This window comes from Homo sapiens, chromosome 11 (genome assembly GCF_000001405.40).
Source record: "Homo sapiens chromosome 11, GRCh38.p14 Primary Assembly".
NCBI classification, from domain to species: Eukaryota; Metazoa; Chordata; class Mammalia; order Primates; family Hominidae; genus Homo; species Homo sapiens.
The window spans coordinates 83001999-83028153 of NC_000011.10; the positions used below are offsets into that span (position 1 = coordinate 83001999).

Sequence of the window (26155 nt, forward strand, 5' to 3'; positions counted from 1 at the left end):
TTGCAGAAGAGGAAGCTGAGACAGAGATATCATCCTAAAATCACACAGCTAGTTAGTCTCAGGAACAGGATTCAAACCTAGATCCATCTGACCCCAAAGCCTAGTTCTTTCTGCAACAGGATGCTGCTACCCCCTGCCTTGTAATTGACATTGTCTCTCTGTCATGAGGGCTAGAGGCTCAGTTGAATGAGTCCCCAGGCCCTTTGAACTACAGTGTTCTAGAATCTCCCTGCTCCGGAAGCAACACACCCACACTGATGGAGCCAGACACTGACTTCAGATTACACAAGCGCTGCTCCTCACCGTGCCCTCCAGCCCAGGATTCTTTCAGGACCTGAAGTCACACTTTAGCTGCATCACTCTCACAATTCAGTCATCATTCATCCCTGTAACTAAGTACCAGGCATAGGGAATATAAACAGGAGCACAGATGAGCAAGCAAAATCCCCAATATCATTGTCACCACAATAGTTGTAAATAAGTGGATATATGGATAAGATTCAAACTGGAAAAATAGATAAGCAAGATGAAAAAATGAATTTTAAAAAGATACAGGAAAAGAAATCTAGTATGAAAAGCTTAAAAAGAAAAACAAAAACCACTGTAAGCAATGTGAATTTGGCAACATTTAAACCATTCTTTAAAAGTGGCCTTTACCAGGCGTGGTGGCTCACGCCTGTAACCCTAGCACTTTGGGAGGCTGAGGATCATTTGAGCCCAGGAGTTCAAGTTTGCAGTGACTCATGATCACACTGCTGCATTCCACCCTGAGCAACAGAGTGGGACTCTGTCGATAAATAAATGAATAAGTGGCCTTAAAAAAGCCTGTATTCACTGTTGCACACCTGTGCATTTTTCCTCTTTCCCTTTGGGGCTCAATATAACAGATAAAGTCAGAGGCCAGGTCTTCTCCCCAACTTTCTGACACACCTCCAAACCCTAGTCCCCTAAAATATTTTGGTGACTTGTCCTTATTCAAAAACTGTGTGTCTCAGGCAGGTCCTTTGGGCCTTGACTTGGTCTGTAAATGGAGGGGCTGGGTAAACAGGCAACAAGGCCCCTTCCCACAACAGCAAGTGTGGTTATGCTTCCATATCAAAGAGGCAGCATAGGCGATGAAGTAAGAGGGCCTGGATCTGTTAGAGAGCACTGTGTGGTTTCCTCATCCATAAAATGGGGATGATATTAGAATCTATACCAGTGAGTTACGTGAGAGGCAAATAAGATAATATATGGAAAGGTACTCCTTTTAAAAATATATAAATGGTTTTTCCCACCATTCTGACAAAAGTCATATATATTGATTGCAGAAAATACAGACAAGCAAAAAGGAAAAGAAAATCATCTATCATCTCTTTCCCTACCCAGACCTTCTCTGGGGAATAATTACAGTTAGCATTCTGGTATATATCCTCCTAGTCTTTTTCTTTTTTCTTTTTTTTAGACGGAATTTTGCTCCTGTTGCCCAGGCTGGAGTGCAATGGCGCGATCTCGGCTCACCGCAACCTCTGCCTCCTGGGTTCAAGCGATTCTCCTGCCTCAGCCTCCCCAGTAGCTGGGATTACAGGCATGCACCACCATGCCTGGGTAATTTGTGTTTTTAGTAGAGACGGGGTTTCTCCATGTTGGTCAGACTGGTCTCAAACTCCCAGCCTCAGGTGATCCACGCACCTCAGCCTCCCAAAGTGCTGGGATTATAGGCATGAGCCACCACACCTGGCTCTAGTCTTTTTCTTTATATACACTCGTGTCTATGTGTATATTTTATTACAAATTTGTTAATTTAAAAAAAAAACAGCATCATAGAATTATATAAATTTTTTTCTATAGAATGGTATTTTCCCAAAACCCAAAATCAGAACTCATGGTCTGCAAATAGAACCGATTACCAGAGACCCTCAAAATTTATTCAACATTTGTTCATATGACCCTAGATACTCAGTAAGTGGGGGATGTAGAGGATAGCTTCACAGTAACATAACTTTGAGAAATATTAAATACTATCACCCAATCTTGGAGGTTTAAAATGTTCTGAAAATTCCCATAATGAAGGCCAGTTAACTTCATTTAACACAGGATTTACCAAACATGATTTTAGCTGAGAATTCTTTTCTCATATAAAACACCTTTTATATATGCCTTGCTACTAGGGCTCCATGAAACATTAGTGTAGTAAACACTATTATATTTTATAGCATTTGAAATAAGAGCTGCCCAGGTAGGGTTGCCAGATATAGTTTTTTAAAAATAAATAATAAGAAATCCAGGTCATATCACCCTGACCATGTCAAATTTCAGTTTCAGATGGTCAGATGTCAACAAATACACTTTAATATAAATTTGTTCCAAATATTGCATGAGACATATTTTAAAGTTTGTTGTTTACCTGAAATTCAAAATGAACTGGACATCCCATCTGAGTACTCAGGTCACAGTAGAAATAGAGGCCCTAGGCATAACACCATGCTTGCCCAGAAGCTGTGGAGGGCGATGGGCAGGGCATGAGAAACAAGATATCCCTGATAAATCCAAAACAACCAGAGGAATAAAAAAGGGCAAGTAAAACTTCAAGAAGGCATCATAGGGGTTCTTTAGAATCTGGGTCAGACTCTGGAGGGTGGGTTCAGACTGGCACGGGGGCTCAGCAGGTGAATCTCACCCTCTTTGATGATCCCAGAGCACTGTGGACCTTCCTCCAAGTATATCCCCACATGTGTGTCAGGCCCATGGAAGGAGCCATGCTTTATGTGTCTCTCACCCCCTACTATCCTTAAGGACAAAGACTGTACCTCAACAAGACACCTGTCTCTGCTTGTCCCACTGCTGTGTTCAGTAAGTGTACACTGAATTGAAAGCCTTTCATCCATCTTTCCGCCTAACAAGGTTCTGTCCCTGGAAGCTCATTATTGCTTAATTACTAGGAGGCAATTACTAACCATTACTATAATCAACTGCTACAAGCTCACTTGCTTTACATCAGCTGCTAATTTCATGTTATTGCAAGTTAATTATTCTCCTTGGCCACAAATGTCAAACACCCACCTGTGCTGTGGCTGCTCCTTATTCACCAGACTGTAAACTCCAGCATTTTTACATTGCCCTTTATAGTTTACAAAATTCTTTCACAGACATTATCTAATCTGGACCTCCCAACAACCTCAAGAGAAAGCTCTAATCATTCATTCTGCAAGTGAGGAAACTGAGGGTTTAGGTAATGAAGTGACTTACTTACTCTGACACACTGGTGAGTCACAAGGTGGCCTCTGTATCCTGGCTACCTAGAATTTCTCCTCTGCCAGAACACACTATGTGTCCCCAGGTTCCTGGCCATTTGGACCATGATTTGAACACACTGTGTGCTAGGAACGGTGCTAAATGTTTTCCACATGTAATCTTATTTAATCTTTTCAGTAGGCCATCAAATGGGTATTAATATTCCCATTATACAGATAAGAAAACTGAGGTTCAGAGAGATTAATTAGTTCAAAAATCAAACAGCTAATGAGTAAAAGTGCCTGGATTCAAAACCCAGGTCTTTGTGGAAAAAAATTAAGTTGGAGGTCTGTCTCACTCCTTATACTAAAATAAATTCTGGATGGATTCAAAGTTTGGATCTAAAAAACTGAAGGCATAAAAGTACTAGAAGAAAACATTATATATATACATATATATAAAACCTTAAAGTAGAGAAGGCTTTCTAAGAATTACTCAAAATCAAGGCTATAAAGTAAAAAGGCTGAGAAATTTCACTAAATGTTTCAAAAATTCTGTATGGCAAAACAATAAAAATGAAGAACTGACTGCAATATATATTATTAAGGTCTAATTGATTACATGCATAAAAAGTTCCTACAAAATGAATAAGAAAAATTCAATAACCGACTAGAAAAAATAGGCTAAGGACATGAGCAGATAATTCACAAGAAAGGAATAAAAATAGCACTTACATTTTTTTTTTTAAAAAACTGATCAATCTTACAAAAGTAAATTCAAACTATAGTAAATTTATACTTATAAATTATAATTTTAACTATATGTAGTTATAATAAGAGGCCATTCATCTCAGATTGGCCAAGTTTATCCTGTACTGGTGACACTATGGAGAAATGGGGCACTTGTATACTACTGGTGGGAGGTAAATCAATGCAACCTCTATGGAGAGCACTATTGATTTAAAGCTAAAAACGCTATTACAAACCCTCTGACCCAGCAATTGCACTTCTAGGAATCTATCACATTTATACTCACAAAGGCACATGTAGTAGGATATTTATTACAACAGTATTTGGAATAGCAATTATAAAAACAACCTAAAAGTCCATTAGCAGAAAATGGTTATATAGATTAAGGTAGCCATACAACAATGGACCACCACACAGCCTGCTATGGATATCTGCAAGATGTATTAAATGAAAGAAGCAAGGCAAAGAATGGTGTGTTTACAGTATGAAGAAAGGGCGGGGGCATATGATTCTATATCTGTATAGGCACAAGATATTTTTGGAATGACACAAAAGAAACTGGCAACAGTAGTTGCCCCTGGGGAGGCTATAATATTTAGCTCTTTCTAGGAAAGAAGATAACCTCCAACTCTTAAATTATACTCTGCCTTTTTATTCAGTCTATAGTAGTGCTTCAAAAGCAAGACAGTTTTCCTAATACAGGGAGAGAGGCCCTGTTTAAAAAAAAATCTATTTGGGGTACTCTGTTTCAATCTTTGTGTCTTTCTCTTTGCCCAGCTGCACCCCTTCATGGGACAGGGACCCCAGGAAGGAATGTCCCACCCAGACTCTGGAGTTGCTTTTCCAGTTCATTGTGTGTATCACTGCTTTCTCTAAACCATGTCTCAGCACAGTGAGTCTCTACAAGGAGGATTCATTCTTTCAGACCAACTTCCCTCAAAACCAAGTATCCACAGTATGGCAGCCAAAACCAATGGATCAAACAATAGCTTGCTTGTGTCATGAATAAAAACAAAACTCTCACACATTCTTACAGCTTAGAAATTACTCTCACTTCACTCTGACACAGAACATTTCTGAGGAAGCAGAAGGAGCTCATCTTTTTCTCCCCATTTTACAGAAATGAGATTTGAAACCAAGATAGTGACTTGCCTCAGGCCACGCAGCATGTAAGCAACAGAGCCAGAAGAGCAAACACAGGTCCCCTGACTCCAAATCAGAGCTGCTGCCAGGACAAATAAGATCTGCACATATAAATCTCCATTGGGCAAGGCCACAGACAAAACTGTCAGGGGTGGCTGGCATGAACACATGCCATGGATTGGGGGTGGAGTTAGGAGGAAGGAGCTCAGAAGCAGCCCTTAGAATACTTTTCAAGATATGCAAAAAGTAAAAATGAAAATGAAAAATAAAGCAGGCCTGAGACCTCCATAATACTATTTTCAAAAATCAAGACAATCAAATATTTTATTTTATTCTTCATATATTATGTTTGATATTTTCCTAATTCCTAGAAATACAAAACGGATTTGGGATTCCAAACATGAGAATGATTCCACAAAGCAGCATTTCATCAGCATTAACCCAAGCAAACACCTGAATTATCTTCTGGTGCTCTTTCTGCCATAGTGAGAAGCTGGCCATGGGGAGCATCCCTACACTAAGCACAGATTTGGTTTTCCACATATAGGTGAGAAGAGAAGGGAAGAGGCCACCGCTTAGGACCCACTCAGTTAACTCCCCAGGCGGGGCTAATTTGTTTCGTACCACAGCACCTGGGAGCAGGTGCTTGACAAAGAGGCTCAGATGTGCCTGGAAATACTCCTGCTTTGTTTCCTGGGGGAAGAAAAAGGATACCCTTCCCACTCATCGACCCCCTTCCAAGTTGGAGACTTCTGTCTGCAAAACATGTTTGTTAAACTGCCCTAAAAAAGGCACTTGCAGACCCAACTTGCTGTTTCTGTCTTCTGCACAAGCAGGTGGGGCTCCCTCTGTTGTCCTCCTCCAACAATAAACAATACCACTGCAAAGAGCTCTGGGCTTTGCCCCATTGCCTTCCCCCTTGTATTCTCTAAATCAGGGACCGTGTCTAATCTTTCCTCTGCAGAAGCTTCCCTGCGCCTGCTTGGCTGGACCGGAAGAACCTTCTTATCAGCTTATTCAGTCTCCTCCCACCGGGCTGAACACACAAAGCAGCCTGGCCAGGGAGCCAGAGGTCAGGGCCACGGCTCAGAACTGGGCTCAAGTCTTTCCCCTGATGGTCCTCTGCCCCGGAGATCAGAGGCCTACCAGGAACAGAGATGTCTTCTCCCTGTTGGAAGACTGTCACACTAGGCTGGACCCCTCCTTCAGCTGTTCAGATTCCCTCCTCACTGGAAGCAGGAGAAAAAGTGAGAGGGAAGCAAGTGTCCACATGCTCAGCAACCTGAATAGATGAAGACAAAAAAAGAACTCTCCCAAGTTTGTGACAGGTCCTGTGTCAAGCAAAAGAATGACTACTTGTCTAGAGCTTTACACACACCAGGCCATTATTGCATCCTTGAATCAACCCCATTGGGCAGAATTTCTTACATACTGTTACTATCAATGTTTTTACATCTATAGAGCACTTTTAGTTTCCTAAGTGTTTTCCAGTGCATTATCCTGGCAAATTCCTGTATCATGGCAAATTCTTATGCAGAAGATAGGGTACAAATTTTCCCTCAGCAGGGATGGACGCACACACATGCACACACACTCACACAGCATACCATAACCTATCTGTCACCAAGGCCTGCTTGAATACACCCCTGCTTAACCCCTGTCCCCACTGCACCAACATGGCTCAGGGACTAGTCAGCTCTCCCCCACCCAGCCTACTGTGGACTTCTAACCAGGCTCCCTGCAGCCAGTCTACGAAGTGTTTTCCCAAAAGTGCCAACTAATTATCAGCCTTGAGGATGCAGTTCAACTCCTTAGGTAGGATGGTGTAACAAGGCTCTTCATAATCTGGCCCAAATTCACCTCTCTTCAATTCCCATATACGTTAGACTCCATCACATAACAATGAACCCTGAGCTCCTTAAAGTTGAATTCAACAAGTATTTATTAAAGAAATGGCCAAAAAGCGGGAAACCTTTTTTTTTTTTTTGAGCAGAGTTTCTCATCACCCAGGCTGAAGTACAATGGTGAGATCCCAGCTCACTGCAACCTCCACACCCCAGGTTCAAGCAATTCTGTCTCAGCCTCCCAAGTAGCTGGGATTACAGGCACCCGCCACCATGCCTGGCTAATTTTCATATTTTTAGTAGAGACTGGGTTTCACCATGTTCGCCAGGCTGTTCTCAAACTTCTGACCTCAGGCAATCCGCCCGCCTCGGCCTCCCAAAGTGCTGGAATTACAGGCGTGAGCCACCGCGCCCGGCCAAAAACGGGGAAATTTTTAAGCCAAAATAAGTAGTCTCTTTCAAAGAGTTCCAGATTTCAAAAAGTCTATGAAATCAAGAATTCTGTAACCATGCTGCAGGGTACAGTTTGAGAGCTGGGTGGAAGATGTGGATGTGTAAAATTTAGCAACAGATGGAACCTGAGGGAAATCCTAAAGAAAATATAAATTCTGGGATTTTAATCCCAGGAACAACATGCCCAGGGAGCCAAAAACACCAAAAATAAATAAAATAAAATAAAATAAAATAAAAACAAATAACAAAAGACCAGAGAGGTCCAAACTTATTTCAAGATAAACAGATAAATAAATGGCCACTGGTGTTAACCTACTGAAGGCAGGAATGGCATCCAAACATTAACAGGTGAAGTAGAAAGAGGCACAACTTTCCTCAATAGCAACTTTTCAATACTCATCAAAAGCCTTTCAATACTCATCAAAAGCCTTCACAAGGTCCACACACTTCAACCCAGCAAGAGGAAAATTCTGCTTCTGGGAATTTTCCTACAGAATGCTTCCTAAATGTGCACAAAGATTTACCTATTTACTTACTTTTACTTTCTGTAGAGATGTGGTCTCACTATGTTGTCCAGGCTGGTCTTGAACTCCTGCCCTCAAGTGATCCTCCTGCCTTGGACTTTCAAAGTGCTGGGATTACAGGTGTGGGCCACCACATCTGGCTAAGATGACCCCCAAGATGGAGGGAGAAGTAAAACCTCTATATACCAATAGAGAAGGGCTAACAGAGAAGCCACATGATACAGCATTATGAAATAAATACTTGGACTGGGCGTGGTGGCTTGTGCCTGTTATCCCAGTGCTTTGGGAGGGCAAGAAGGAAGGATCGCTTGAGGCCAGGAGTTTGAGACCAGCCCAGGCAACACAGCAAGACCCAACCTCTACAAGAAATTTAAAAATTAGCCAGGTGTGGTGTCATATGTCTATGCTCCTAGCTACTCAGGAGGCTGATGTGGGAAGATCTCTTGAGCCTAGAAGTTAGGCATTACTGTGAACTGTGATCACGCCATTGCACTCCAGACAGAGTGAAATCCTGTCTCTAAAAAACAAAAATAAATAAATAAATACTTAGAAGGAAATAAATTTTTAAAATTCTTACCTCTGGGTGGTGAGATTATGAATAGCTTATTTCCTTTTTTTCATATTTATATCTTTTCCAATGCACATTATTAAAATATCTTAGGGGCTCAATAGTGGGGAGGGAAACATGGGACAGGTACACATATATGAAGCCAGTGACCATCCACATTCAATGGGCTCTTCCAGAAGGCAGGGTCTTACTTGGCACATACCAAAAGCCATAAAAGAATCCAAACCTTTCATGCAGTTAGCTCACTGCTGAGAATTCACTTTAGGGAAATAACTGAACGAACCCAAAATGCCAAATGAACAAAAATACTCATTACCTCTTATCTAAAACAGTAAAGAACTAGAAACAATCAAAATGTCCAAAGGAAAGTTCCATATAGAACATCAACACCATGGGATGCAAGGCAGCCATTAGAAATGCCAATTATGAAAACTGTGTAGAAAAATGAAATAATGTTGACAATAGGCTGTAAAATGAAAAGAATTTGCAAAGCTGCATTTGTCAGGACTGCAGCTATGAAAAATACACATGTATATCAACAAGGGCATTTCAAAAGTAAAAATGTGTTATGCTAGAATTATGAGATTACAGAGACCTTTTATTTTTGAAGTTTGTTATTTTTTAAAAAACAAGTTGTTAACATTTTGTATGTACCATAGACACATTTTCAGAACTTTGGAAACACAGAAAAGGGAAAAATAAAATTGCCAATACAAATGCAATCACTGTCAACATTTTGATGTGTTTCTCCTAGTTTCTTTTTCCCATGTACTGGCTGGTTTGGTTTTGTTTTGATCGTTGTTGTAATCGCATCAACATTTCTTTAAAGCAGTTACAAAATCATTTCAATTTTGAGAAACCAGAGAACTTAATATAAATCTTGTACTATAACATAATGGTGGCTATCAAGAGACCCCACATAATGTCAGTTTGTAAGTAAAAAAGAGAATATTGTACCACTATGACAAAATAAATGGACCAATCAAGGTTCCTAACACCTGTAGATGACTCTTAGGTCTATTTCAGTAGCCATAAGCCAAGAACATGGCGAGTACTGTGTATTAAAGCTGGAAGACTGAATAATGTAGTTGGAATTAGAAAGGCATTTAACAGACTGAAAACAAGAAGATACAATGATGTACTAAGTTTTCAGATCAGAAGAAAGTTGAAGGAAACCAATTCAATTGGTCATTAGGTCCAGAATATTTAACTTTCTTTACATTTCTCATACCCTTACTCTCCTGGCCTCCTGCCCTGCCCTTCACCAAGGCCAGACTCTGGTAGCTGGGCAGCAGCTGCTGTGTTCTGCTTGTTTTCCCTGCCTTCTTCCTGCCTCCCCACTTGCAGGCTGTCCTTCTTCCATTCTGCTGCCAAATGCAATGCAGACCATCACAGGCCTAATGTGCACCCATATCACTATGGACTTCTCTAGAGAGAGAAACAAGGGCAGGGAAAAACACTATCTAAGCAACGCACAGGCTTGGATATGCACTAAATGAGGGGAGGCTGAGTCTGTTGTCACCACTGAGGGGCTCAGTTTCTGCAGGAGTGTGATACTTTTGTGCTTTTCAAACAAAAGAGTCCCTCAACACAAACTGATGATTCATCTATTATATGCATGTCTTCCAAAGACTCTGTCCTCTGTTCTAAGGATAGAGGAAAAAAGCTGCTGTGTTGGACTGCCTAAGATGTGGTACGCCACCACTAGCATAGCAAACCTCACTCAGAGGCAAGAAGAAATGGAACTTGGCATTTTTTGCCTCCAATGCTTTTAGAAATGAACACTTGTACAAGATGCAATGCGACTCCACTGCAGCCTCTCCAAAGAACTAATCTAATCATGTCATTCCCACACTTAAAACTCTTCCAGGGCTCTGGCTGCCCCCACAAAGTTGTCTGTAAGAAGTAGTACAGTGCCCTGGTTAAGAGGGCAAACTTTGGAGCCACACTGCCTGAGTCTGAATCCTCAGACTGCTCTTTCTGAATGCTCTGAATGCTCTTTATGAGTTGGGTGACCCTGGGCAAGTTCCTTGTCCTCTTGGTGCCTACATTTATTTATTTATTATTATTTTTAAGAACAAATTCAATACCTATCCTATGTGTATTTATTTACAAATAGGGATAATAACAGTACTTACCCCATAGGACCGTTGTGCAGATTAAAGGAATTAATACAATAAAGTACAAAGAAGAGGGCCTGGCAAAGAGGAAGTGCTCAGTAAATGTTAGGTGCTGCTACTGTTATTGTTATTGTTGGGCGAAAGTTCAAATTCTCCAGCAGGGCATGCAGAGCCCTCCACAGCCCAGCACCTCGTATCTTTCAGGCTTTGCTTCTCATGACCTGTTACCACTATGACTACCGCTATGATCACGCAGTCTTGCCAAGTTCCCAGAGCATGGGCCCCTAGACAGGTTCATCCCTTCACACCTTTACTCACAGGGCTCATCTCTCTTTATTGGGTGGTAAACAACCAATTATCTCTCAAACCATACCCCCACCCTCCCTGTGAATTGGTCACTCTCTACTTTGTGCCTCCTCTATGTTCTGCAGAGTTTCTCCATAGACACTTTTTTTTAAAATTTATTTTCATTTTTATTTTTATTATTTTGAGACAGAGTCTCACTCTGTTCCCCAGGCTGGAGTGCAATGGTGTGATTTCGGGTCACTGCAACCTCCGCCTCCTGGGTTCAATAAATTCTCCTGCCTCAGCTTCCCTAGTAGTTGGAATTATAGGCATGCACTACCATGCCTGGCTAATTTTTGTATTTTTAGTAGAGACAGGGGTTTCACCACGTTGGCCAGGCTGGTCTCAAACTCCTGACCTCAAGTGATTCACCTGCCTCGGCCTCCCAAAGTGCTGGGATTACAGGCATAAGCCACTGCGCCTGGCCAGACACTTTATTATTCTTGTTGGTTTATGTATCCTGTTTCCTCCACTAGGCCTTAAGGACAGAGGCTCCTGCAAATTCCTATCTGTATTCTCATCGCCTGACATTTCAGTAGACTAAATATTAAATAAATGCAAAAGAAAAACTGATCAGTACACACAAAAGCTGAGAGTGCTTTTCAGAGAAACTAAACACTATGATGAGGAAATCAAACCCCAAAGCAATTTGATCTTAAGGAGAGTTAATTGGCAAAGATCATATAACCAAAGAGAAGAAAACTATAATTTCCCAAGAGAAAGTCAAACCTTGCTACAATGCAGTGTCTCTGTGTGCGTTGGAGGACCCAAAGTGCAGGTCAATTAAATATAAAATACTGCAGGAGATCCAGACTGCAAGAAATAAAGAAAGAGAACTAACCTTTATTGCATGTCTACAATAAGCCAGATACTTAGAAAATAATAGTTTCTATAAAAACAATGTGCTAGACACAGACCTATCCACTTTACCTGCATTATCAAATTAAATAATGCAAGTCCTCAACAACTCTGAGACATAAGTGTTGGCCTCTCCATTTTACAGGTGAGAAAAACATTCACTCATTTCATACATTTGTACTGGGCATCTACTATGTGCAAGTCACATATCCAGAAGCAGGGGATACCATGATGAACAAGAAGACAAGTTCCCCCTCTCATACAGCATAAAAATAGAGCAATGAATGAATGAATGGGAAAATAAGCATATACACAAATAAACAAGAAAAGTATCAGACAGTGATAAGTGCTAGTAGAGAATTAAAACAGGAGGAAAAGACTGGATAGCTGTCACAGAAGTTCTCTCTGAAGTGGGTATATTTAAGATGAGAATTGAATAAGAAAGAGCCAGACCAGGCTTGGTGGTTCACACCTGTAATCCCAGCACTCTGGGAGGCTAAGGCAGAAGGAACACTTGAGACCAGGAGTTTAAGACCAGACTGGACAACACAGTGAGACCTCATCTCTACAAAAAATTTAAAAATTAGCTGGATGTGGTGGTACACACCTGTAGTCCCAGCTACTCAGAGCTGAGGCAGATGGGTCCCTTGTGCCCAGGAGGTCAAGGCTGCAGTGAGCTTTGATGATGCCAGTGCACTCCAATCAAGGCAACAGACTAAGACCTCTTTCCTTTTGAAAGGAAAGAGAGACAGGGGGAGACAGAAGAAAAGAAAGAGAGAGGCAGAGGCAGAGAGAGACAAAGAAAGAAAGAAGTAAGAAAAAGAAAGAAAGAAAGAAAGAAAGAAAGAAAGAAAGAAAGAAAGAAAGAAAGAAAGAAAGAGAAAGGAAGGAAGGAAGGATGGAGGCAAGGAGAAAAAGAAATAAGAAAGAAAAAGAATGAAAGAGAGAGAAAGAAAGAGAAAGAAAGAAAGAGAAGGGGAGGGAGGGAGGCAGGAAGGAAGGAAGGAAGAGAGAAGGGAAAGGAAAGGAAAGGAAGAAAAGAAAGAGGAAGGAAGGAAGGGGCGAGTCAAGCACATGAAGAATGGAAGAAGTACATTTCAGGCATAGAGATCAGCAAGTACAGGGGCCCTATGTGACAATGAGCTTGGCATGTTCAAGGAACTGAAAGAAGGGACACTGAGGCTGAGCACATGGTCAACAAGAAGAGAACTGGGAGACTGCTGTGGGACAGGTCACATAGAGCTTGGAAAGCCAGGGCAAGGAGTTTGGATTTCATTCTGAGTTCAATGTAAGGCCACGTAGAGGCTTTTAAGAAATGTGACACAAACCAATTAACATTTTTAAAATTTTTTTCTAGTCTCTATAATGGAGGGTATGATGGTGTGGATACCAGTAGAAACAAACAAGACTAGTTAGGAGGCTACTGCAAATAGTCTAGGTGAGAGATCATATGGCTTGGACCAGGGTGCTGGTAGTGGAGATGGAGAGAAGGGTATAAATTTTGGAGTGTTTTTGAAGATAGAGAAGACAGAACTTGCTAAAGGATTGGAAAGAGGATGGGAAAGAAAGAAAGAAATGAAAAGTAATACCTAGATATTTGACTTGAGCACATGGGGGGATAATGGCACCACTTTCTGAAGTTGGGAAGATTGGGAAAACTGAGATTGGAGTGGAGCTGAATCAAGAGTCCTCTTTTGGCCATGTTAGGAAATGTAAGGACTCTCAGACATCTATGTGGACATGAATCTGAAGTTCCAGAGAGAGAGTCTGAGGCTAAAGATACAAACGTGAGGGTCACTAGCAAATGGATGTTATTTAAAGCCATTGAATTATCAGAGGATATCTATGGAGAGTGGATAAATAGAGAAGAGGGCCATTTCAGAACCTGGGCATATCACCATTTAGAGATTGAGGGAAGAAGGTGACTGAAGAAAGCTCAGAGAGGTAGGAAGAGAATCAAGAAGTAGAGTGTCAAAGAAAATGGTGATCAGTCTTGTCAAATGCTGCTAAGAGAATAACTAAGATTAAAACAAAGAGATGGGTTGGGCATGGTAGCTCATGCCTGTAATCTCAACACTTTGGGAGAATGAGGCAGGCAGATCCCTTGAGACCAGCAGTTTGAGACCAGCTTGGGCAACATGACGAAACCCTATCTCTACAAAAAATACAAAAATTAGCTGGTCATGGTGGCACGTATCTGTAGTCCCAGCTACTGAGGAGGCTGAGGCAGGAGGATCGCTTGAGCCAGGGAGGTTGAGGATGCAGTGAGCTCTGATCATGCCACTGTACTCCAGCCTGGGCAACAGAGTGAGACTCTGTCTCAAAACAAAATAAAACAAACAAACAAAAAAACAACGAAGTGGCCTTAGATTTGGCAACATGAAGGCCACTGGTTGACAGAGACAAGGACGGTCCTGATGAAATGAGAGAAAGAGATTAGAATTGGGGGAGTGGAGGAGAAAGTCAGACCAAAACTATGGACAACTTATGTAAGTGCTTCTGAGAAAAGAAACAGAGAAACTAGGAGATAGCTACAGGGGATATAATGTCAACAGATTTTTAAGTTAAAAAATAAATTTATTTTGCAATATTTAAGAGACAAAATTTTAAAAGGTTATGGGAATTTGGGAAGGTTGGTTTCTTTTCAGATAAGAAATACTACAGCATATTTATTTGTTACTGAAAATAATCCAGTGATTAGATAAATTTAATGATGGCAGAGACATGGGGCCTAATTACAAATTACAAAGATCTATAAGACTTAATCTTAAAAAGTTAAAAATGTGCCCAAGGCTAACAAATAACATTGGTAGGCAGTGAAGCCAGGACACTAATCCAGGTGTTTTGACTTGCAAGTGCATTCTCTTTCTACACAATTGACCGTAATATATACAACAGCATTTGCAAAAGGTCCCAACTCCAGGCTCTGAAAATAATCAGAACAGAGTCGGAAGGAAGCTTCAGAGAACTTGGGAGCACCAATGCAAACACACACCCCCTTCTCACTTCAATGTAAGCAACCTCTGTTCCTCACACAGACTTCTATTATTGCATTTTCACTCAAATGTCATTTATGTGTGCACATCTGGCTGGGGTCCTACTAGCTGCAGGACCCTCAATGGTTGCCCTTTCATGTTCAGAAAGAGTTGGAGGGGAGGATGGGGACATGGAAAAATCACAGTGCAATGTAAGTGGAAAAACTTGAGGGGCTAAACTCTTCAGTGACTTAATAAGGTATAGAAGCTGGGCACGGTGGCTCACACCTGTAATCCTAGCACTCTGGGAGGCTGAGTTGGGCAGATTACTTCAGCCTAGGAGTTCGAGAACAGCCTGAGTAACATGGCAAAACTAAGTTCCCACAAAAAATACAAAAATTAGCTGGGCATGTTGGCGTGCTCCTGTAGTCCCAGCTACTAGAGGGTGAAGTGGGAATATCATTTGAGCCTGGGAAGTAGAGGGTGCAGTGAGCCGTGATAGTTCCAGTGCACTCCAGCCTGGGCAACAGGAGTGAGACCCTGTATCAAAATAATAATAATAATGTAGCAAAGAGATTTTTATTTCTTTTTTAAATTTCTTTTATTTAAATAGTTTTTGGGGAACAGGTGGTTTTTTGTTACATGGCTAAGATCTTTAGTGATAATTTCTGAGATTTTGGTGCACCCATCACCCAGGCAGTGTACACTGTACCCAATGTGTAGTCTTTTATCCCTCAGCCCCCTCCCACCTTTCCCCCCAAGTCCCCAAAGTCCATGTCATTCCTATGCCTTTGCATCCTCATAGCTTAGCTCCCACTTACAAGTGAGAACATACGATATTTAATTTTCCATTCCTGAATTATTTCACTTAGAATAATGATCTCCAACTCCATCCAGCTTGCTGCAAATGCCATTATTTCATTGCTTTTTATGACTAAGTAGTATATCATGGTGTATATATACCATATTTTCTTTATCTGCTCATTGGTTGATGGGCATTTAAGCTGGTTCCATGTTTTTACAAGTGTGAATTGTGCTGCTATAAACATGTGTGTGCAAGTGTCTTTTTCATATAATGACTTACTTTCCTCTGGGTAGATACCCAGTAGTGGCATTGCTGGATCAAATGGTAGTTCTACTTTTAGTTTTTAAGGAATCTCTGTACAGTTTTCCATAGTGGTTGTACTAGTTTACATTCTTACCAGCAGTGTAAAAGTGTTTCATTTTCCACTGGGCATGGTGGCTCACGCCTGTAATCCCAGAACTTTGGGAGGCCAAGGCAGGTGGATCACAAGGTCAGGAGATTGAGACCATCCTGGCCAACATAGTGAAACCCTGTCTGTACTAAAAATACAAAAATTAGCTGGGCATGGTGGCATGCGCCTGTAGTCCCAGCTACTCGGGAGGCTGAGGCAGGAGAATCACTTGAACCTGGGAGGCGGAGGTTGTAGTGAGCCAAGATTGTGCCACTGCACTCTAGGCTGGCTGCAGAGCAAGACTCCATCTCAAAAAAAAAAAAAAAAAAAAAAATGTTTCCTTTCACCACATCTGCACCAACATTTACTATTTTTTGATTTTTTAATTATGGCCATTCTCGGAGGAGTAAGGTGGTATCTCATTGTGGTTTTAATTTGCATTTCCCTGATAATTACTGATGTTGAGCACTTTTTCATGTTTATTGACCATTTGTATATCTTCTTCTGAGAATTGTCTATTTATGTCCTTTGACCACTTTTTGATAAGATTAATTTGTTCTTTTTCTTGCTGATTTGTTTGAGTTCCTTGTAGATTCTGGATATTAGTCCTTTGTCAGATGCATAGTTTGTGAGTATTTTCTCCCACTCTGTGGGTTGTTTGTTTACTCTGCTGATAATTTCTTTTGCTGTGCAGAAGCTTTTTAGTTTAATTAGGTCCCATCTATTTATTTTGTTTTTGTTACATTTGCTTTTGGGTTCTTGGCTATGAACTCTTTGCCTAAGCCAACATCTAGAAGAGTTTTACTGATGATATTGTCTAGAATTTTAATGATTTCAGGTCTTAGACTTAAGTCTTTGATCCATCTTGAGTTGATTTTTGTATAAGATCCAGTTTCATTCTTCTACATGTCGCTGGCCAATTATCCCAGCACCATTTGTCAAGGTGTCCTTACCCCACTTTATATTTTGTTTGCTTTGTTGAAGATCAGTTGGCTGTAAGTATTTGGCTTTATTTGAGTGTAAAAAGTTTTTTTGTGCTTTTTGTTTTGTTTTGTTTTGAGACAGAGTCTCACTCCGTCACCCAGGCTGGAATGCAGTGGCATGATCTCGGCTCACTGCAACATCCACCTCCCAGGTTCAAGTGATTCTCATGCCTCAGCCTCCTGAGTAGCTGGAATTACAGGCATGTGCCACCATGCCCAGTAATTTTTGTATTTTTAGTAGAGATGGGGGTTTTGCCCATTGGCCAGGCTGGTCTCGAACTCCTGACCTCAAGTGATCCGTCTACCTCAGCCTCCCAAAGTGCTGGGATTACAGGCATGAGCCACCACACCAGGCCAAAAGGTTTTTTTTAAAAAATAACAACTATGTATTTATGTTCAGCAAAAGTGAAGATGGAAATTAAGGTACAGGTCATTTTGTTTCTTTCCCTTTTGCCTGGCTATCTCAGGAAGCAAGTGGCTAGGAAGTGGCCTCTTGTCACCTGTTTTCTATGCCTACCCTGTTTTACCATGTGGCAACACAAACCCCCACTCCCCTGCCCCGTCTTTCTCTCACCTAGCTTCCCATTAACTGTTCCAGTTTGCTTCTTCCTTCAGGGCAGCAGACATGCCATCTCCCCCACGAAGTCCTCCCTCATCTCTCCATCTCTGAACCTTTAGAACACTAAGTTACTAGTACACACAAATTTAGCTCTTGATCATATTTGGTCTTATAATCATTCTCTGATTCAAATATCAGAGTGGGAGCAAGAGTACTTTTTTTCAGTACGAAATTCAATACAATTGTTGGCTATTGTTACCACGAGAGGTAGCTTAATGGAATGATTCAGATAGATTTGGGTTAAAATTATGGCTCTGTTCCATCTCTTACAGGCCGAATGACTTTGGGCAAGTCATTCCCTGAGACTCAGTTCCCCTAACTAGAAAATGTGAATAATACTGCCTACTGATGACAGTGGTGAGCTGTCTGGAGCAGCCACTGCCATCATGCTGGCTACAGCTGGAAGGCGTGGCCAGGACTGCATGTTCCATGGAGCTGGCGAGAGCCAGGGACAAGCAGGAGCTCCACCCCTTCTGAACTGGGGAGGGAGCTACCCAGGTGCCACTGCAGCTACACAAACCATGGCTGCAGACCCAGGCCTCCCACTCCACGGAGCAGGTAGAAGCCCCACCCTCTCGGGCACAGCTACAGCCACTCAAACCACGGCTGCAGACCCAGGTATCCCTGTACTCTTGGGGGTCCAGGAAGGCCCCCGCTTGCCTGTGCAGGCTCAGAGGTGCCTGCTCCCACTGCCTGGCCTCTCCCCCACTCCTTATGCCTGCTCTAATCTCAGAGCAGGGTTGGGGCCAAGCTCGGGCACTGTCACAGCCTGGCTGGGTGTGCTCATGCTAGGACTCTGTTGCCTCAGCCCCCTCCGGACTTTAGGCACCAACAAACATGGGAAAAAGCCAAGGTGGGGGCTGAGGGCGGCTCTGCGCTGGCCTGCACTTGCCCATTGGCACGAGCAGCCTGTTATGCCTGTTGCCACAACTGAGGCAGGAGGCAGACAAGCTCCTGGACAGAAGGGGGCGAGTCCCTGTTGAGACCCCACCTTCAGGCCAGGGGAGCCTGAAGCCTGGGAGCTGGGCTGTGAGTCCCACAAACCAGGGTGGCGATTTGTGGTGCCTTTTTCAGCCTGCCCATGGCCACCCATGGACCAATTGCATGCACTTCTTCCCCTCTAAGACCCATAAAAGCCCTGGGCTCAGTCAGACCACGGAACAGAGGGAGGATGGGACAACCAGTTGTAGAGAGGAGCTACCTTCTCTGCTGAGAGCTGCAGACAATGGGACAACCTGCTTGTAGAGTGGAGCCACTCACTTTATGGCCTCCTCTCTGCTGAGAGCTGCAGACAATGGGATGACCTGCCCGCAGAGAGGAGCCACTTCCTCTCTGCCAAGAGCTGCAGATGACAGGATGACCAGCTGCAGAGAGGAGTTACCTTCTCTGCTGATAGCAGGAGCTACCCTCTCTGCTGAGAACTGAACACTTGTTGGGACAACCTGCCTGCGGAGAGGAGCTATCCTCTCCGCTAGGAGTTAAACACTCATCAGGACATCCTGGCCATGGAGAGGAGCTGCTCACTGCGGGTCTTCTCTGAGCTGTTGTATTGCTCAATAAAGCTCCTCTCTGTCTTGCTTACCCTTCCGCCTGTCTGTGTACCTCATTCTTCCTGGTCATAGGACAAGAACTTGAGACTCACTGAATGGTGAGGCTAAAAGAGTTGCTGTAACACAAACAGGATTGAAACATGTCCCTTGCTCACCAGGTTATGAGTGAAGAGGAGAGACGAGCTGTGGCCCTCCAGGAAGCCCAGACCTGGGAGCTCCCTGATCCAGGGCTGTGACTCCCTCTTCTGGGCCCTGTGGTTCCTGGTGCCTCCAAGCTTCCAGGCACCACCTCATTCCCCAGTGCCAGCTGGGAAAGCTGCTTGCGGCGCACCTGGTCCAGCTGCAGCCTCACAGAGAGCTAGCGCCCATGCAAGCACCTTGAGCTGCCCGCCCGGCAGCAGCAGCTGGGATGTCTGGCTGTGCAGAGGCCAGACTCCATGCTCACTCACACACCTCTCTCTGCTCCACGCCTGACTCCAGTCTCCCTTGGAGGCATGGGATCCAGCCCGGTAGCATGAGCTGAGCACAGCCTGCCAGGCCGAGTGGGCGGAACAAGCCCAGAAGGCCTGAGCAAAACTAGGGCAAAGGCGCCACCGGCCACAGGTTTCCAGCCAGAAAAGCAACGCCCCAAAGATCCCATGTCACTACCTCAAGGGCTGTTGTGAGATTTAAATGAGATATTTTTGTAAAGCATCTGTCACAGTACCTGGCCTATAGGAAGTGCTCTATAAATATTAATTCCCTTCCTCCTAATGACTTTGTGAATGTCAGTTTTATCTCTCCAACAAGATGTTCTTGAAGACAGATCATATATTTTATGTATTTCATTAGATCATCCACATTCCTAGAACATAGCTCAATGCATCATAGGCACTTAATTAAGTACTTCTTGGTTTGATCACAAGTGAAAATCACGGCTGTACGTATGCCTGACAATAGACCAGTGTTTCCTAAATGCTGGTACCAGTTGAACTGCATTAAACTCATCCAAAGAGCTTCTTCTTATTAGGGGTGGGGGTGAAGGGGTGGGAGAGATAGGGAACAGGGCCTTGCTCTGTTGCTCAGGCTGGAATCCAGTAGCACGATCACATGGCCAGTGAAGCCTGGACCTGCCAGGCTCAGGTGATTGTCCCACCTCAGCCTCCCTTGTAGCTGGGACTACAAGCACATGCCACCACACTCAGCTAATTTTTAAATTTTTCTGGAGACATGGTCTCACTATATTGCCCAGGCTGGTCTTGAACTCCTGGCCTCAAGTGATCCTCCTGCCTCAGCTTCCCAAAGTGTTGGTATTACAGGTGTGAGCCACCGCACTTGGTCCAAAGAGCTTCTTAAAAATAAAACTGCTAGATCCCTTCCCTAGATATTCTGATTAAGAAAGTCTGTTCCATTAACTTCCAATAATGGAGAAAGGTCTTCCAATTTTTACTTTAGTATTTTTATTAGATATTTTTGCATTGCTTGAATTTTTAAATAAGTATCCTTTATTTTATAATTTTAAAATAAAGACAACTTTTAAATAAAAAAAAGAATAACTGACCAGAATCAGAAGTGAAATCTAGAATACTACAAAATGTTTCTTTCATTAGTAATGGGCAATTTAAAAAATAATAATAATGAAGTAAAAATACCCCCTGGTCACAACTGGGGAAATATGAACATGGCCTGATATCAGATGATCATTTTGTTTTTTGTTTTAGATACAATTTTATGTTGTATCAAATGTCTTTATTCTTAGAATACACATGCTGAAATGAGAGTTTCAGGTGAAGTGTTATAACATTTGCAACTTTCAAATGGTCCAGCATATATGTATATATGCATATGTATGTATGTGTATATATATATATGTATATATACACATACACACAAACATGAGAAATAAGACAAAATGTTAACAATTGTTTAATTTAGTTGGTGGGTATTTGGGTGTTCAATTTGTTACTCTTTCAAATTCTCAGTATGATTAAAATTTTTCTAATAGTTGGGGGAAAATATTCTCAGTTGATTCTGGTGATAATCTAGCTTGGGAACCACTGCTTTACCCAATAGATTTGTTCCTGAAGTTAGAAAAATAAGAATTCTGAGATACACAACATATAAATGCTCTGAAAGCAATAGTATTTAAAGAAATCTCATGTCACAATCTCCCCATAAAACACTGTCTCCTAATTAATTGTTCATAAACCTACATTTCACATAGGATTTGCTTAAGGTCAGCGCTCAGATAAGGGCAGACTTGAAATGTTGGTTAAGGGAAGAAGAGGCATGCACAAGCACAAAGCCTGAGGGTTGTACTTGACTCTTGTCTGCTCCTGTCTTGCTGATTTACCTGCTGAATATTTATCAAACCAGTCTCCTCCTCTCTTCTACTCGTGCTACTGCCGTGGGTCAGACTTCATCCTATCTCCCCTGCACCAGTGCTGAGAGCCCCAGCTGATGGCCCTGCCTCAGGTCCTACCCAGCTCAGATTCACTTCCACCTTGGCTAATACATATCCAAAACACGTGCTGGCTCATTGCTCTTCTACTGAAAACCCTACAATGGCTTCCCATTTCAAAATCAAGTCCAGAACTCTTCAATCTGTTTATAATATCCTCTCAATTTTGCCAGCCTCAATTCTCACCAAACTCACATTTTATAGCCCAGTAACAGTGAATTCCCCGTGATACGTCTCACCTCCATGCTTCAGCCCATGCATTCTTATTCCACCTTGCTCAGGCATCACTCTCCTTCTGAAAGCTTTCTTGGATTCACCACCTGCCATGCCTTCCCTCCCATCTCCCATACAGAGGTCAGAGTCTCCTATTTGGTTCTCCCACAATACCTCGACAGAGTTTAATCCGTGCAGTTACCCCACTGCTCACAATTATTTACTTATAAGACTATCTACTCCATATCCCGGGGCCTCTTGGGGAAGGACTGGATTTTATTCATCTTTGCAGCCCCAGTACTTACTTCTGCTTTGCCTTTCTGATGCCCCATTTTCTCATCTAGAGAATCAGAAGAATATCACCAACTTGAAAGGTTAGCGTTAAGTTTAAGTATTCAAAGCTTACCACAGGCATACAATAGGCCTTCAGCACATTTGATTTATAAGGTCAGCATCTCTTGTTTTTCGCTTTCCAATTCTGCCCTTCAGGACCAACTTCTTACACTGGCCCTGTGTCCAGCAAGGACACAGCGAGCAAGCTCCCCACCCATCTACATGCCAAAATAGTGAGGGTCTCAAACTCCAGATCTGCCTCAGGCTTCCCCACCCTGCCAGTGCCCTCTGGACTCTAGGATGACTCAACTAAGGAACCAATGCAGTACTGCAAACATTTCTTGAGCAGTTTTATGGAAGGCAATGTCCCTGATGCAGTGGAAAGTGATATAACATGTACAAAAAATGTATGACCTCTTATAGGGTAGGGGAAGGGTGAGGAGACAATTAGACAAGTGAAGGCAGTACAATTCAAAGAAGGAAAACATTGTATATCTCTGGGGGTAGACAGAAAAGCCTTAGAGGAAGTGGCATTTGAACAAGACCACAAAGGATGGATTTAAGCTAAGAGGCTGTTTCCAGAATTGTGTGTGTTCCACAAAACACAACACTGAAATGCTACTGTTACTCAGATGAAAAGTAAATTTAGAAAATGCTGCCTACGATGTACCCCTCTAGGAGATCTGCAATGCACAGTAACAAGCGTGAAGTAAAGAACCCTACTTAACTGTGTTGAACTCAGCATCCCAAGTTTGTTTGACTACTAGTTAATTCCCTATTTCTTTCCTCCTGGAGGAGAGAGTTATAGCATCTTTCAAGATCTGAGGTGTCTTGAAGTAGGAAACCCTATTTAACTCCGTTTAACCGAGCATCCCAAGTTTGTTTGAACGCTAGTAAGTTCCCTATTTCTTTTCCCCTGGAGGAAGATGTATAGCAACTTGGAGAACACACTTTAAGAAACAACAGGTTAAATGTTACCCTTTCAAAGCTATCCATTTGCATTTTACCAGGACTTCACATTGATAATACCTTCATATCTGATTTTTTAACAACAAAATCAGCAATTTTTTAAAATTCTCCTGACATTTTATCAGAAGAGAAAAAGCAATGGAAGATGCTGCAGAACTAAGAAGTTTCTCATTGTGAAGCACAGTGTAGACCATAAGCCTTTTAATCAAACGAAGGAAACAACACATCTCTGACTGAGTCCATTCATTCTTTGTTAGGATGTTTACACTGTTATAGCTGCCCTCACTCCCTCTGCAACCTGCTGACTGTGTAAAAAACACCAGACTTGAAAGCAAAGGGAACAACATTGCATAACAACAAGCCCTCAGGGCATGTTTTGCTCCTTTATATTTACCAAACAGTTGTGCTTGTAAAAGACAAGAAGGAAAGGGGCACTGCAGCTCATCCCCACTCCTGAAATTACAATGCTGAATTATCCAGTCTGAGAGTTAACATGTTTACTGGGAGTGAGGCACTGTGCTCATGATACAAAGAAAAATAACGTATAGCTGTTACTTCACAAGCCAGGACAGATAGGTAAATAAACTGTAATGCAGCAAAGTGCAAGCAAACACTTCTATAATAAGAGGGGAGTACACAGAAGCTGGGACTCCTTACCTTTGCCTGGGCTTAAGGTCAAAAGAGAAGCATGTTAAAATAAGGAAAAACTCCTCTTTGTTCTTAAAAAATTGAAAAGGAGTTTTCCAGGCAAATAAAATATATACATAGGTATAGATAAACAGATATAGATAGATGATATAGATATAGATACAAGGCCAGGCATGGTGACTCACATCTATAATCCCAGCACTTTGGGAAGCCAAGGTGGGAGGATTGCTTGAGCCCAGGAGTTTGAGACCAGCCTAGGAAACATAGTGAGACCCCCATCTCTTCAAGAAAATTAAAAAATTAGCCAGATGTGGTGGTGTGTACCTATAGCCCTAGCTACAAGGGAGACTGAGATGGGAGGATCACTTGAGCCTGGGAGGTTGAGGCCACAGTGACCTCTGATCATGCCACTGCACTCCCACCTAGGCTACACAGCAAGACCCTGTCTCAAAAAAAAGACATAGATATAGATACACATACACACATACATAAAAAAAAATAAGGCCATAGGGCTGAGTAGAATAGGATACGTGATATGATTTGGATATCTGTCCCCTTCAAATCTCATGTTGAAATGTAATTCTCAGTGTTGGAGGTGTGGCCTAGTGTGAGGTGTTTGGATCATGGGATAGATCCATCATGAATGGTTAGCACCATCCCCTTGGTGATGAGTGAATTCTGGCTCCGGTAGTTCATGTGAGATCTGGTTAAGAGTACGGCACCTCTGTCCTCACTCTCTCTTGTTTCCACTCTCACATGTAACATTCTGGCTCCCGGTCACCTTCTGTCATGACTGTAAGCTTTCTGAGGTCTCACCAGAAGCAGAGGCCAGCACCATGCTTCCTGTAAAGCCTGTAAAACTGTGAGCCAGTTAGATTTCCTTTCTTTATAATTTTCCCAGCTTCAAGTATTTCTTTGTAGTAATGCAAAAATGGACTAACAATAGGATAGGGCAAGATTGAAAAGAAAAAAAAGAGCAGCCAATCTGGAGAAGGTGTCACACTGAACTACTGCATCTAATTTCACTTATTCCAAAAACCCCACAAAAATTCAGTAAAGTGCTTTATTTTTATTAAAAAAAACCTTATAAGTACAGAGAAGATAAGACAATGGTGTCAAATTTTGGAAGCTTGGGAAGCAGATGAACAAGTAGTAATTGACTTAGCATACTCAGAAAATGTGGAATTCAGCTGATTTAAACCACAGAATCCTTAAAAAACACAGGAACTGACAGTACCTTGTACTCCTAGAGCAGGCGTATAGGATGCTAGAATAAAGAACACAAGAGAGAAGGCTACTCAAGGAGTTAGATACCTAGATTCCCCCTCCTCATTAACAAAACTCCAAAGGCCTGTCTCTGGGGAGCACAAAACAGAAATATCCAGCATTTGCTTGAAATAATCTGAGGAAGGGGATTGCGGGATACAAAGCAAACTAAAATATCCATCAAGTGAAAACTAGTGAACCTGAATGATGGGTACATGGGAATTCACTGTATTGCCCTCCCTACTTTTGTAAATCTTTAGCATTCCCCATAAAAAAAAAGTAAGAGTGTCTTTGGCCTGGCAGTATCCAGCGTGGATGAGGGGGAAACATATCACAGATAAGGCACTATGTCTACAGAAGGTAGAGTGCAAAGGTTCCCATGTTTCTTCTCCCGAGTACCAAAACATAGTCAGATAGAACCCCACCATCCGAAGAAGAGTGAAAGACTCTTTGCTGGTGAATGTACCCAAGGGAAAACCTGAAGATGGTAACATCAGGGGAGCCCAACAAACAGCCCATCCAGATCACCGTACCGTGAGGCTCAGAGCTAATTATCTCCATTCTGTATTCAGAGTTTCCTGACAGTACTTTTTAAAAAAAGCTTTATGTCACATACCATATAATTCACCCTTTTAAAATATGCAATTTTCTCTAGGAACTAAATGAAAAAAAATAAAATGTACATTTCAATGGTTTTTAGCATATTTACAGAGTTGTACAACCATCACCACAATCAATTTTAGAACATTTTCCATTCCCCCAATGAAAATCCTACACACATTAGTAGTCACTCTGCATTCCCCCCACTCCCCAGCCGCAAGTAACTACTAATCTATTTTTTTGTCTGTATAGATTTGTCCATTCTGGCCATTTCATATAAATGAAATCCTACACTCTGTGGTCTTTTGTGAGTGACTTCTTTCACTTAGCATAATGTCAAGGTCTTGACAGCTTTTTTCCTCCCCCTCTTAATCAGGAGCAACACAGCCAAGGATCACATTTTAGAGTGACATCTTGGGAAAGCCTCTAATAAAGATACAGACCATGGCAAACACAAAAAAAAGTGACTTGAAGGAAACAGATAATATGCAAGGGCGGAAATACCATTAATATTCTCACAAAAATGAAATAAAACTACATCCATGA

At 42.1% G+C, this 26155-nt stretch overlaps 1 protein-coding gene across 4 annotated transcripts in view, besides 1 other annotated feature; it reads right to left on the reverse strand.

The window, feature by feature from the left end:
- Window positions 1–26155, reverse strand: part of RAB30 (RAB30, member RAS oncogene family) — a 98765-nt gene that overhangs the window by 28866 nt on the left and 43744 nt on the right. The gene's annotated exons all lie outside the window — the stretch shown is intronic.
- Window positions 5869–5928: an enhancer, noted in NCBI's record as "active region_5341". NCBI's record gives its function as "activates an Ori minimal core promoter by ATAC-STARR-seq in GM12878 lymphoblastoid cells {active_cell/tissue: GM12878}" and the evidence as "EXISTENCE:reporter gene assay evidence [ECO:0000049][PMID:35858748]".